Below are 13,035 nucleotides of genomic sequence, written 5' to 3' on the forward strand. Positions count from 1 at the left end.
TGTGTGCTGGGCTTTATGCTTAGGACTCCACAGCCCGTCAGACCCCCAGCCAACTCTCCTGGAATCCTGTGGGGCAGGGGACATTATCAACCTATTAACAGATGGTGAAACTGAGGCACAGGGAAGGGGTGGGACTTGCCAAAGTGCTTCCAGTGCGTGAAGGGCAGCAGGCTAGGCTCAGCAGGCTCTTCCACAAGGCCACACTTGACCCACCTCTTCTGTCTGCCACCCCCAAAATTGCCCCCACCATGATGGAGGCTTGTGTTGGTGGGGAGAGACCCCCTAGCAGGAATTTTATAAGAAAATTCCTAGGGCCTCCCCTCAGCCCAGTCCAGTGTCAGGCCTTGGCGGTGACCTCGGTAGAGGTGGCCTACAGGGCAGGGGTAAAGGCAGTGGATGGAGGAGAAGAAGGACTGTGGGCAGCTCTTAGCAGCAAGGAGCCATTTCCTGGAAGGGTTCAGTCCCGACGTTGTTTATGCTTACAAATGAGGGCAGGGCCAAGGGGAGAAGGAATTTCTAACGGAACAAAGGCTTCTCTACTCACCACACACCCCCCTGCCTCCTCCCAGAAAGGCACGGCCTCTTCTCATAAACTTCAGCATGAAACAGACGGTAACTGCTGACAGCACTGCAGGGGCCACCACCCGCCCGGCTGGGAAGGAAGCCAGGCCTGACCAGGCTCTCCTGACCCAGGCCCCTGCCACGTACCCCTCTGGGGGATCACATCTGCCAGGAGCCTGGGCAAAGCTCACTGGAGCTCAGAAACCACTCCTTGTAGCACAGACAGGCCCTTTGGGGACCAGAGAGGCAAGGGGACTCACTCAAGGACACACTCAGTAAATCTGACTGAGCTCGGGGGAGGGAAGGATCCTCTGACTTCCAGAGTGAGGCTGGGATCCTCACACGAGGGCAGCCTGGGAAGTGGGAAGCTGTGGCCAGTATGGGGGTGGGAAGGAGGAGCCAAGCCAAGGAGCAGAGAAGGCAGCGCTGCAGGGCGGGGAAGTGGGAGGGGCCCCCCGGGCAAGCCAGCGGCTTCGGAAGAGATGTGGAGGAGGCTCACACTCTCTGGGCACTTCTTCAGAATGGTTCAGTGTTTTCTTCCCATCCCTGCGTGAAATCTCTTGAGGTTGGCTGGGAGGTGGTGAGCTGCCTTTTACTGGGGGTATGCAAGCAGAGGCTGAGAGAACAAGTATCAGGGAGGCTGCTGAGGGGGCCTTTGCCCTGGTCAGGCAGGTGGATCTGGTGACTCTGGAGGCACTTCCAACTCTACAGTCCTCCCAACCCCTGCAGCTGGTAAAGGCCAACCAGGCAGGTGTGGAGACAGGCACTCTGAGATGCTGCTGGGGTGGGGGCTGAACAGGTATATTTTCCTACTGTATTTCTATAGGACAACTTCAAACTTCTGTAAGCCTTCAAACTTTAAAAAAATGTGCATTCCTTATCCTAAGCAAATCCATCTCTGGGCGACTATCCCAAGGAAATTATCAGACATGCGGACAAAAGGGGTGTTCAAAAATGTCCATTACAGCATGAGTTAGGACAATGTAAATCTGGAATGAGCGAAACATTCAACAACAATGCCCGGGTTCCCTAAATTACGTTATACCCTTTGGATGAATGACAATAAAGCCACTAAAATAGTTATGGTGATTTTTGTTCGGGGTTTGGGAAAATACTTATAAAGAGAGCAGGATAAGCAACCGAAGATAACCGCTGCACAAGAACAGGACTGGCAGGAAAGCAGCCACAAGGGCTGAGAGACAGGACTGTTGATGATCTTACTTCTGCAGCTTATGCTCTGTCTTAATGAATGAATTGCCTTTAATGAGTGGGTATGGCTTGGAAGAAGATGGTAGCCAGCCCACTCCCTGGCCTGCAGGCCCCTCCTGCCCCCTAGGGGGCGCACTGTGCTTTCCCAAGGTGACAGAAACCCCACAGAGATGGTGGCTGTGGCCACACTCCTGCCCCTGCAGGTGTGGACCCTGGGGCCTGGGCACTGGCTGGCTTCAGGCTGCTGGTTCTGTTGGATCATACTCATGTCCATAGAGCTAGCCCCCCAACTGTGGAATGCACTCCCCACCCCTGGGTCCCTTCTGCTCCTTCCATTTTAAGGGAAGCCAGACATGTCCACACACTGTCACGTGACACCACAGCCTGACTGGTCACTCCCCTCCAGGTGCTTGAAGTCCCACCACGAGTGAGTGATCCTTTAGGGTGAAGCTTGATCTCCCCATCCCTTTTAGACAATGAGTCCCTTTTGCACAGAGGTGACATTGTGGCCTTTGGTTGTTGAGGCAGAGAATCATAGGGACCAGGAGGAGAGCAGGGTGGGCACTGAGAGCCTGAGGCTGTGCCCTGCACGCCAAGACTCCAGGCTGCACTGTGCCCCAGGATGCACGGCCTCTGCCCTCTGGATATGGGTTCCAGCTATAGGCCTCGATACCTCCCAGCCTGAGGTATGTGCCTCACCCCCAGACCTGGCCTTGCCACTCCCATCTGCACAGGGGCGCAGGCCTGTGCCCTGCCAAACCCTGGGATGGAGAAATCACTGTTGCTCCAACATTGGGTATTTTTGGTCAGGGCCAGGCACTCTTTGTGTCCCGACAACCATCCATGAGCTAAGTACGGTTAGTCCCAGGTTTCAGATGGGAACGCTGACGCATGTAGAGGTTACATGGCTTGCCCAAGCTACGCTGCCAGGAAATGGGGTAGTCCAGATCCGAGCCCAAGCCACCTAACGTGGGCTCACTTTCTAAATTGCTACACAACATGCCAGGATTGCACAAAGAAGAGACCCACCAAGCCGGGATGGTGAGAAACGGGAAGGGGCCGCTGTTCTCATGGGTCCTGGCATGCTGGGGGCATCCCTCCCCATCTCTGGGCCTCAGTTTTCCCATCTCCAGAATGAGAGGTTGGACTGACTGCTGGGCAGGGTCACTGGCCTCCCAGGAGGCCCATAACTCAGCATGTGCCTGGCAGCCCACTCACGCTCCGCCCTCCCATGGAGCACAAGGCCGACCCCACCGTGCGTCCAGCTGAGAGGCTCTGGCTGGAGCCAAGAGGAGCAGGGGGAGGAAATAAAGAACAGATGGGCTGCCTGCTGGCCCCTGTCCTGCCCGGTCTGCCCAGTCTGCGTGCTTTCCTGCAGCCCGGCCGCTGAGGTGGCCCTGGGCTCCAGTCTACCTTCCCAGAGAGCAAGAGCCCCGGTCTCAGGAGTTCGAGAAAGACTTTCCACTGATGTAGAAACAGAGGCCACAGGGGTGGGGCAACTAGTCCACAGAGGGGGCGCAGGGCTGACCACGGACTCACGACCCCAGCCCAGGATCCTCTGTGTGGCCTTGCTGGCCCTTTCTGGAGGCCTTTACCAGAGGAGGCAGAAGGTCCCTGGTCATTCTCCCTAGTGTCTCTCCTTGAGCCTGGGGCAGTGCGGAGTAAACAGGGGATAGAGGTCAGAGGTCCAGGTTGGGCCCTGGCTCTCCCACGCCTGTCTTAGATACTTGGTTTTTCTTTTTTTTTCTTTTTTCTTTTTTTTGAGACGGAGTCTCGCTCTGTCACCCAGGCTGGAGTGCAGTGGCGTGATCTCCGCTCACTGCAAGCTCCACCTCCCAGTTCCATGCCATTCTCCTGCCTTGGCCTCCCAAGTAGCTGGGACTATAGGTGCCCGCCACCACGCCCGGCTAATTTTTTGTATTTTTAGTAGAGACGGGGTTTCACTGTGTTAGCCAGGATGGTTTCGATCTCCTGACCTTGTGATACGCCCGCCTCGGCCTCCCAAAGTGTGGGGATTATAGGCGTGAGCCACTGTGCCCGGCCAGAGCCTTGGTTTTTCTATCTTCCATGTGAGGGGGCTGCTCTGGTGGAGCTGGAGACACTAGCATTCAATGAGCACCTACAATGTGCCACACGCTTTCTGACCTGGCTCTCCAGAGCTCTTTCATTTAACAGGAGAGCAAACTGAGGTACAGAGAGGCCAAGCAACCTGCTCAAGGCCACACAGCCATGGAGCCAGAACTTAAACCCAATTTGCTGACTCCAAAACGACACTTTCCACTGAATGTGCGGCCTCTCCGTGAGACGGTTGAGAGAAAATTAAAGAAAAAGCCTGCTCCTAGGAACACAGCCGCACCTCTTACCTCCGACCCTGGCCACCACCTCAATATTCATTTGTTCACCTAATTTACACTGAGCACCCACTCTGCACCAGGCTCTGTGGAAAATTCCAGAAATATGGAAACAAGACAGATGAAGAATGCCCTGTCTTCATGGAGCTCTCAGTCCAAGGCCTTCCAAAGAAGTCAGCCCTGTGACCCTTTCCCCAACCGTGACCCACACCAGTCGCGAACTCCCCTAGCCACATACTCCTGGGCTCAAGCCCAAGTCGGACTCACACCTGTGAAAACACACTTGGATTCACGCCCTCAGGCAGAGGCCAGACAGACCTCCCAAGTGACAGGCATGGGACCTATGCATGCCACATGAAATTATCTCTGATCACTGCCACGGCCTCATTGAATCAGCACTCTTAACCCTAATGACGGATGAGGAAACTGAGGCTCGAGACAGGGGCAGCAAGTCTGCCAAGTGCTGAGCCCCTGGCTTTTCCTTCCCCTCTGTGCTCTGTGGTACTGCTTTAGGGACCAACCAAAGACCTCCACACTCACATGTCCACATGCACGGCCGGGGGAGGCAGGTGGAAGGGCTGCGTCCCTGCAGCCTGGTCTGGGCAGCTGCAGGCTCCACGGAGGCCCCGGAGGAAGCAGGCGGTCAGAGGGACAGGTGGGCTGGGCCGCGGCCTGCAGGATGCTGGGAGGGAGGAAGGACGCGGCAAGAGGCCACCCGGGGCTTCCTCTGGAGCCTCAAGGGCCTCCTTGTCTGCGCACAGCCGTCCTCGCCTCCTTGCCCAGGGCCCCCTCCCCTCTTCTGGGTTCCTGCTGCAGCCCAGCATGGGCCCAGAAGGCCTGGCCTCTTGTCACCCCTCCCACCCCCGTTCCCAGCCCAAAGCCACCACAAAAATGCCATCCTGATTCCACAACACTAGGGTTTGTCAAAGTGCAAGGAACAATGGGAGCTTTCACAGGGACAGGAAAAGGCCTCAGGAAAACCCTGGGGAGGGGGGCATGGAGTGGGGGTGTGGAGAGGAGGGAAGGGAGATAGAGAGGAGAAAACAAGCGGGGGACAGAGAGATGAGGGAGAGATCCTGGAGAGACAGGGAGTGAGGACACGATGTTGGGAATGAGGGGCAGGGAGTGAGAGAGCGCCCGTCAGAGCAGATAAGAGGAGAAGGGGGGACAGGGTGCCCAGGAGAGGCGAGACATGATGCAGAAACAAACCAAAAGGGCTGGGAGACAGAGACATTCGGGGGAACGGGGCCCACAGAGGCCAAGGAGCCCCTCCAGGACCCAGAGAAGTGCCAAGCCCCCCAACACCCCGTGCCTCCAGCCCTGTGCCCGGCCCTGAGGCGCTGCTGCCCAGAAGGCAGCAAGAAGCCCCCTCTCCAAATCCCACCCCAGCCAGGCGATTTGAAGTAATCTCAGGCAAAACTTTTTGGAAAGCAAAGACATTTTAATCACATGAACAGCCACTCCCTAAGTTATCTGTTTCCTGCTCTGGCTTTCCTCCCTTAGCAAACCACACGGATCAGAGCGGAGGGGCGGGAGGGGAAGAGGGGCCGGTCCAGAGGGGTGGAAAGCTTCCGAATCACAGGGATTGCAAAAGACAGAGGTTTCCTCCGCCACTGCAGAGACAGGGATTGCTGGCTGCCTTAGTGGGTGGATGGAAGATCTGCAGCCACCCTGCTGTTTGCTGATTGCTGGAGGGGACTATTGAGTTTGAAAACCATTTGTTGTTTCCAGATCTTGCACATCCCTCTTTGGGTCCCGTTTGCTCAGCAAGACCTTTCTTCCGACTGCACCTCTCTCTCCTGCTGCAGTCACCGCCTGAGTTGGGCCAGGCAGAATCTCCCCAAATACTTAAATGAAGGCCCACTTCAGGTTTGGGCCTCACCGCAGAGCTGAGATGAAACATGCAAGGCATTCGGGCCCCTTCCCCTTCTGGCCCCAGCTGACCTTCCACCCACAGCACTTACACTCAAATAAAGAAAAGTCACTCCCTGCAAGTGACATGCTGCCCATCTGTGCCTTTTTCTTGCTGTTCCCTGTACCCAACACTTCACCAGTGAACAGCCATGTACCCTTCAAGAGCAAGCTCCAGGGGCACCCTGGTCTCCCTGGCCCAGAGAGGGCTAATGCACTGCTCAGGAGCTCACTCCACTGCTGAGTCCCAGGCTGGCTGGTGTGGAGATAAGAACCCACCCGCCGCCTTGCCCTGGAGAAGGCCCTCTCCCTGAACTTCCAGGGGACTCTGTGGTTTGCACCACACGCTTAGCTCCAGGAAAGGCGAGAGACATGATCTTCCCTAGGTCATGTCCTGCCCTGACCCAACCTCCAGCTTGCCAAACTCAGAGATTTCACCCGAAATTTAAACGAAATTCCCCTACTGCCATCTTGTTTCCCACAAGCCTCTCTGTGTGCTGCGGTCAGGTGCACCCTCCACACCTCTCACTTCTATGGTAGCACTAGGCTCAGGCTGGGGCTCAGAATCCTTTGGCAGCTGGAGGGGACACCAGGAGTGGCAGTGCCTGCAAAGGGTGAGGTGTGAGGTGGACAGCAGAAGTTAGGGCAGGGTGGAGGTCGCACAGGTAGGAGGTGGCAATGCCAGGGCTGATCATGGCGTGGGCTCTGTCCAGTCCCAGGACGCCTCCTTGGGCAGTGCTGAGCACCCTGGACGGCTGTCTTGAGCTAGCAGCGCCATTTGCACAGGGCAGCTGGCCCCTGGCTCTGTGTCTGAAGGCGTCCCTGGCAAGGCCTGGATAGACATGGCCGTGACCAGCCCAGCCTTCCCTGGCTGGAGGGAAGGTGGTGGGTCAAGAGGTGGAAAGGCCTCAGCCTGGAGTGAGGCTTTGGGTGTGAGGGCCACAGCCCTGGGAGGAGGGGACAGGGGAGCTCAGCTCAAAATAGTGATGGGGGAAGGGTGTGCAGGGTGGCCAAGTGCCAGAAAAGAAATCTGATCTGCCCTGGCCAGTGAAATGCTGAAGTCAGCAGTTTGGGGCCACTCTGGCAGAGGCCTGGGGGCTGAGGCCCCCACTGCTGCCTGGCAAGAGGCTGTGGGCGTGACTTCCAGCCTCGCAAAACCCTCACATAAATCACCTCCTCTCTCTGGGATTCGATCTCCTCATCTGGGTAGAAAGAGAAGCAAACTTTCCATCTCTGGGTGAGCGCTGGAGCTCACAGCACTTAGGAGACTGTGGCAACCACAGACCGGGGTGGAGAGTGCTGAGTCTCCCCTGCGTGCTGGGGCTGGCCACGCACACAACCTGTAGGTAGCTTCATTGTGATCCCATTTCCAGGTGAGGAAATAGAGGCTCAGAGAGGTTAAGTCACCTGTCCAAGGTCACAAAGCAAATAAGCAGAAGGCTTCGAACCATGGCCTTTCTCCCTGTTGCCCAATTCCCTCCTTGCTGAGCGAGATATCGGAGGTCCAGAAGGCCATGGACAGGTACAAAGGACACCTGTGGCACCTGTTCTTCAATTGGGTGGAGGGGAGCTCTGCAGAGGAAGAGCTGCTCTTATGTGACTTTTACAGGGGGGTCGCAGGGAGGAAGGAAGCCTCACATTTCCCACCCCTGCTGACCCTGCTTCTTCACCAAGGGGCTGGAAAGACATTCCCAAACTGACCTTTCTCCACTGTCCCCAAAGGCGAGGGTGTTCTGTGCAGGAAGCTCTGCAGGAAGCAGGATGATGGAGTGTCCCCAAATGGTCACTTCCCCTGCCTGGGCCCCAGGTTCCCTGGCTCTAAAACCCTCACAGCTCCTGCTATGTGTGGGGTTACCTCCACCAGCCATTTCATCCTCCCTGTAACCCCTACAGATGAGGAATCCAAGTCACAGAGAGGTTAAGAGATTTGCCTGAGGTCACACAGGCAGGAAACAGCAGAGCTGGGATCTGAACCCAGGCCTGACTGACTGCTGCAACGCCGCATGCCTCCTACATGGCCTTGAGCTCTGACCTCCTTGCCCTTGTCTGTGGACAGCCCCACAGGACAATAATCCCGCTGGTGCCCTGAAAAGGGAGGAGAAGGAGAAGGGGCTGGCTGGTGGTACTTGTTTTCATACCCACCTTTACACACCCCAGTCTCACTACCTGGCACACCCTGCCTCCCAACCAAATCCAGTGGAAGCTGCACTTCCTCCGGGAAGCCTCCTTGACCCTTCTGGTCTCTGTCCCCTTGCCCCAGGGCTCCTCTTGTCACTCTCTGTGCCACAGTGCCACCCTAGGGCCCCCTCTACACCTGCTGAAGGCAAGCTGGACACACGCCCCGCAACCTGTGTGCACACATGGCCTCTTTGCTAGGGTCTGAGACAGCGCCTTTAAAGTGCTGATGGGGTGGAGCGCCAGCCAGGTGCAGACCTGCCCCCAGGGAGCGCCTGTCCCAGAGGAGCACTCGGTGGTGTGGGAGCCAGGCTGACTGTTGCACAGTAACCATGCCACACACAGGGCTGGGAGCGCCAGTCCACATTCCCCAGCAGGAAGTGAAGGCTCATTCTGAAGCCATACGGCTGTGCTCGTCTTTCTGATTCCAGATTCCTGAGCCCCTGCTTCTAGAGCACACGCTCTTCTTCGCTCACGAGAGCACGCACAGGACCATCGGGGCATTGGTACACTGCACGCTGCTGCCCTGGCCCCAGAGTCTCAGAATCAATAGGTCTGGGGAGGGCCTGAGAACCAGAGTCTCAAATGCCTGGGCGGTGCAGCTGCTGCTGGTCTGGGGACCCACCTAGGGAGCCACCGCCCCAGTGATCCTGGTCACAGTCTGTTAAAGTCCAGTCAGATACTGTCACCTCCATGCTGTCCCCATCTGCCCATTCTACAGCCCAGGAAACTGAGGCACAGAGAAGGCAAGTGACTTGCTCAAGCCATACAGGAAGTTAGGGTCAGAGCTGGGAGTGGAGCGCAGGGCTCCTCACCCCAGGAGCTGGGCTGGTTGCAGGACAGTGAGGCTGCTGGGCTTGAGAGGGGAAAGCCTGGATTGGGGGAGAAAGGCCCATCTCTTTAAAAGCAAGACCGGCGGTGGTGTCAGTGGCGGCGGGGTACTGGGGAGGGCTGGCCTGGCTCTCCTGGCCCAGCCCCAAACCTGTGACTCCTCAGCATCTGGAAACCATCACCGGGAACAATGATCATGGAGCAGGAGGCCGGGCTGCTCAGGGGCTCCAGCCCTGTCTGTTCAGGAAGGCAAAGGAACACAGAGCCTGCAGGCACCTCCTGCCCCCACCTCCACCACCGATGTTTGCCTTGGCACCAACACACACAGCTCCCAGTGGGCCCAGCTGTTGGGAAAAGTCAGCCCCTGAGCTACAGATGTGGAGGCTGGTGGCAAGATTGGGTGCCCAGAAGCCTGGACGGAAGCCAGTTGACCCCAGCTTAGCTCCCTGCTCTGCCTGCACGACTCCTGGCTTATGATTATAGCACTCTGGGCCTCAGTTTCCCTGCAGGGAGCTCAGGGACTACCCAGGTTAGGCCAGCTGCTTACTATATACTGGCATGTATCTGACCAGCTTGATGCCTGGATCCCAGGTGCCCCCAGGGATCCCGCTTGTTGTCTGCAGGCCAAACAACCAGCCAGGGAGCAGGGAAGGCTTTGGAGCACCAATCACCACGTGCATTTACTTCCTTTCCACATGTGCCCTCGACAACTATGAATTAGGCACCCACAAGGCACTGGAGGAGGGTGGTTAACAAGACAGATGCAACCCCGGCCCCCATGAACTTACAGCCAGGCGCGGAAGAAAAGTAAGTATCCCATTCAGATCATTAAAGCTGTGATGAGAGATATGAAGGAATGGGGTGTCGTGGCAGAGGAGAATGGGGATCCCCTCTTCACAGTGAGAAGCCATACAGAAGGTCTGTTCAGGGCAGTCAACCATTCCCATTCCCAGTCTCTGACGGTTCACAGCCTAAACTGCAAAAGGTGGGTGTTTCTGACCTCCTTCCTGTCCCTGACCCAGTCCCTACACACTGCCACCAGCAAGCTCTGTGACCTGGGATAAGCCCCTTCCCTGCCTGGGTCTCAGTTTCCCCATCTGTCCATGATGGGGGGATAAAGTAAAATCAGGAAAGGCAAATACTTCTCCCTGTGTGTCCACTCGTAACTTGCCACAAAACTACTGTGGTGTGAAGGATTCTGCAGCTATATCCAAGCTCGACAGGCAAGAATGGTGTGATTTTCGTGGTGCCTGCCCTGCCATGGCCGGGGGCAGCAGGCACACATGACTTGAGTTGGCATTCCTGACCTAGATGATCCCTAAAGATCCTTCCAATGCAAATAGTTCCATGAGTAGACAGCACACAGGCTTGAGAAGTGGACAGAGTCCAAGTCCTGGCCACTGCTTCTGCACACCTCTGGGCATGTAACAGAGGCTAGTTTTTGCCAGGCTTGGGCCACTTGGGTGCTGGGCTTTCAAAGCACAACCCTGGCTGCGGAAGCTCTTTAGAACTGTGACTCTTCCTCCAGGGAGCCTTTCCTACCAGCACTTCTAGCAGACATCTCCCCTGCCCTCCAGGGACCCCCTGTACCTTGTGGATCTCTGTAGGAAGCACTTAGGATACACCCCTCTCAGCTCATGTGTCTGTCACCTCCTTCCCTGCCCTCTCCTCAGGGACAGAGACCCTGTAGGGGTCCCCTCTGATTCCCTGGGCCCAGCGTGGGTCTGGCACAGGACAGGGGGCTCTGGGGAGCAGGTGAAGGGCAAGTGACCATTTGGACATGACTATCAGCCTGAGAGAAGTATCTGGAAGAGAAAGCCAGAGGGGTAGGGGAGGTGTGGGGATGGGGCAGGCAGCGGCCTGGCAACTTCCTGGGCAAGCATGCTGGTCGCTGTTCCTGGTCCTCAGTGTGGCTATTGTCCCTGATGGTCCAGGGAACGGGCTCAATAGGGCCTCTGTCCCTCCCTGAGCAGGCCAGCCCAGCTCAGTGGTGTCCCACCCGGGCAGCTGGAAGGCGAGGGCCGACACTTCCTGTCCCCACTGCGAGTGTTTGGAGGAGCAGGGGGAGGACGGGGGCTCTCAAGACAAGCACCCATCTGTGTCCCCCAGAGAAGAGCTGCCCAGCTGGGGGAGGAGGCGGGAGAAGGGAGAGCAAGGCAGGGGATGCGTTCAACCCTGTGCCTCCGCCCCTCCCCTCCCAGCCAACTCTCCCTCTGAGCTGGAGCTGTCAGGAGGCCCATTCTGGCCCTCTTGCTCTTCCTCAAACAAGCCAAGCACATCTGTGCCTCACTCAGAGCCTCTGCACTTGCTGTTCCCTCTGCCAGGAATACCCTTCCCCCAGATGCCCACACCATTTGCTCCTGCTTCATTTGTCTCTACTCAAGTTGTCATGTCCTCAGAGACACCATCCCTGACAACTGTCTTTGAATATGACCTGCCACCATAGCATATCCATTGGTGTCAATTTCTTTACTATTTGTCATCCTGCAAGATTGGGAACTGCATTCTTTCCTCATCTTTCTTGTTCACTATGGAATGTCCCATGCCTGGAGCAGCACCTGGCACATAGTAGGTACTCAATAAATACACGATGACCAGTCAGACAAAAGTAGCATGCTTGAACACTGATCTGGCCTTCTGGGATGTGCTCAGGATGAGCAGAGCCCCATGTTCTGGGAGCATCTGGCCAGCATGGCTGGGGAGGAGTGACGTCACAGTGGAAAGGGCCCTGTGGGGCTGGAGCAGCCTGTGCAAAGGGCTAGACCACGGGAAGCATGGAGGGCTTGAGGCTTGGAGGCCAGGCCAGTCCAGGTCCTAGACCATATCTTAGAGTTAAATATCAGCCCAGGAGTATGGGAAGCCAGGGAAGCGCTGAAAATGCGAAAGTCTGCCTGGCATTGTGAGATCTCTTTGGCTGCTGAGTGGACAGAGGGGTTGGACATGGGGGGACCAGTTAGGGGGGTGCTGCCACATTGCTGGGGAGAGGTGGTGGGGGTGTGGTCTGGGGATGGGTGGCAGAGGGGAGAAGAGTGAGAGACCCCTGAGATGGCAGGAGGTTGAGTCAGCAGCACTTGGGCTAGCCTTGGGGGAGGAGAGCAAGGACTCAAGAGCAACTCCCAGGTGTGTGGCCTCAATCAGCTGCGGGGCTGTGGGGGCTGAGGCAGGAGCTCCCCTCTTGGCCCATGGTTGCCCTGGCTCTGACTGGGGGACAAGGCCAGGGTGGAGCAAGGGAAGGTGATGACGGTGTCTTGTGCCGGCAGTGATGGACGGAAGGAGGACTGGCCGTCACTGGACAGCAGGCAACAGTGATGGATGGCAGCCTCATGATAACTGTTTGCCCTGGCTCCTGTCCTCAGGAATCGCCTATAAACCTGTCATGTGAGCCTGCTCAAGGTGCCCTTGGGGGTATGATCCACCCTAAAGCTGATTTGAAAATCACCTCGGGGCTGGTAAAAAGAGGCCTTGACCTCTGTCTTTAGATTTACAGTCTAATGTGGCCAGGCATCCTGGCATGGTGCTATAATTAAACACACACACACTCCCCTGCAGGTGAGCAAATAGGCTCAGAGCAGGAACCATGTGAACACAGGCCACGGTGGCAGGCCAGGGCTTTCCCCACTGTTCCAAGTTGCCTGCTGGGCCCCAAAACAATTCTTCAGAGCCATGAAGGAGGACTCAACGGAAGGGGTGTTGAGTCTGCAGCGGAAGAAAACCCAGGAGGGAGAGGATGGAACCAGATTCTAGAGGGAAAGGTGGCCCCAGCCTCCCAGGGCTCAGTGTGCCCAGTATATGCACAGAGCAGGACTGCCAAAGTCTCATTCCACTGCCCACGGGTGCCCCACTTTCCAGAGGAGGAGGCCAAGGCCAGGGGACTCCAGCCCACACAGCCTGTGAGAGGCAGGGCCAAGCTCAGGCCTCCTGGGATCCCAGGCCAGTGCTAGGGAGAGTCTGAAGCAACTGTGAGGACAGAAGAAGGGTCAGGAGACCTCCAGGAGGC

The 13,035-nt window shown here is 56.9% G+C and overlaps 1 protein-coding gene across 2 annotated transcripts in view, besides 6 other annotated features; it reads right to left on the minus strand.

Annotated features, from left to right (window-relative positions):
* The window catches only part of ZCCHC24 (zinc finger CCHC-type containing 24), a 63,300-nt gene that overhangs the window by 16,437 nt on the left and 33,828 nt on the right, over positions 1-13,035 (minus strand). The window lies entirely within an intron of this gene.
* Positions 674-1,174: a transcriptional cis regulatory region, noted in NCBI's record as "chr10:81159191-81159691 region (GRCh37/hg19 assembly coordinates) targeted for CRISPR interference". NCBI's record gives its function as "positively regulates PPIF gene expression in THP-1 monocytic cells {active_cell/tissue: THP-1}" and the evidence as "EXISTENCE:mutant phenotype evidence [ECO:0000015][PMID:33828297]".
* Positions 4,185-4,993: an enhancer, noted in NCBI's record as "H3K4me1 hESC enhancer chr10:81162702-81163510 (GRCh37/hg19 assembly coordinates)". NCBI's record gives its function as "activates a minimal SCP1, AML or CMV promoter by ChIP-STARR-seq in naive H9 embryonic stem cells {active_cell/tissue: H9 hESC(naive)}" and the evidence as "EXISTENCE:reporter gene assay evidence [ECO:0000049][PMID:30033119]".
* Positions 5,429-5,929: a transcriptional cis regulatory region, noted in NCBI's record as "chr10:81163946-81164446 region (GRCh37/hg19 assembly coordinates) targeted for CRISPR interference". NCBI's record gives its function as "negatively regulates PPIF gene expression in THP-1 monocytic cells {active_cell/tissue: THP-1}" and the evidence as "EXISTENCE:mutant phenotype evidence [ECO:0000015][PMID:33828297]".
* Positions 5,429-5,936: a biological region, named in NCBI's record as "CRISPRi-FlowFISH-validated PPIF regulatory elements GRCh37_chr10:81163946-81164446 and GRCh37_chr10:81163953-81164453". NCBI's record gives its function as "regulatory_interactions: PPIF".
* Positions 5,436-5,936: a transcriptional cis regulatory region, noted in NCBI's record as "chr10:81163953-81164453 region (GRCh37/hg19 assembly coordinates) targeted for CRISPR interference". NCBI's record gives its function as "negatively regulates PPIF gene expression in LPS-stimulated THP-1 monocytic cells {active_cell/tissue: THP-1(+LPS for 4hr)}" and the evidence as "EXISTENCE:mutant phenotype evidence [ECO:0000015][PMID:33828297]".
* Positions 6,610-7,417: an enhancer, noted in NCBI's record as "H3K4me1 hESC enhancer chr10:81165127-81165934 (GRCh37/hg19 assembly coordinates)". NCBI's record gives its function as "activates a minimal SCP1, AML or CMV promoter by ChIP-STARR-seq in naive H9 embryonic stem cells {active_cell/tissue: H9 hESC(naive)}" and the evidence as "EXISTENCE:reporter gene assay evidence [ECO:0000049][PMID:30033119]".

The sequence above is a fragment of the Homo sapiens genome, chromosome 10 (assembly GCF_000001405.40).
Source record: "Homo sapiens chromosome 10, GRCh38.p14 Primary Assembly".
NCBI lineage: Eukaryota > Metazoa > Chordata > Mammalia > Primates > Hominidae > Homo > Homo sapiens.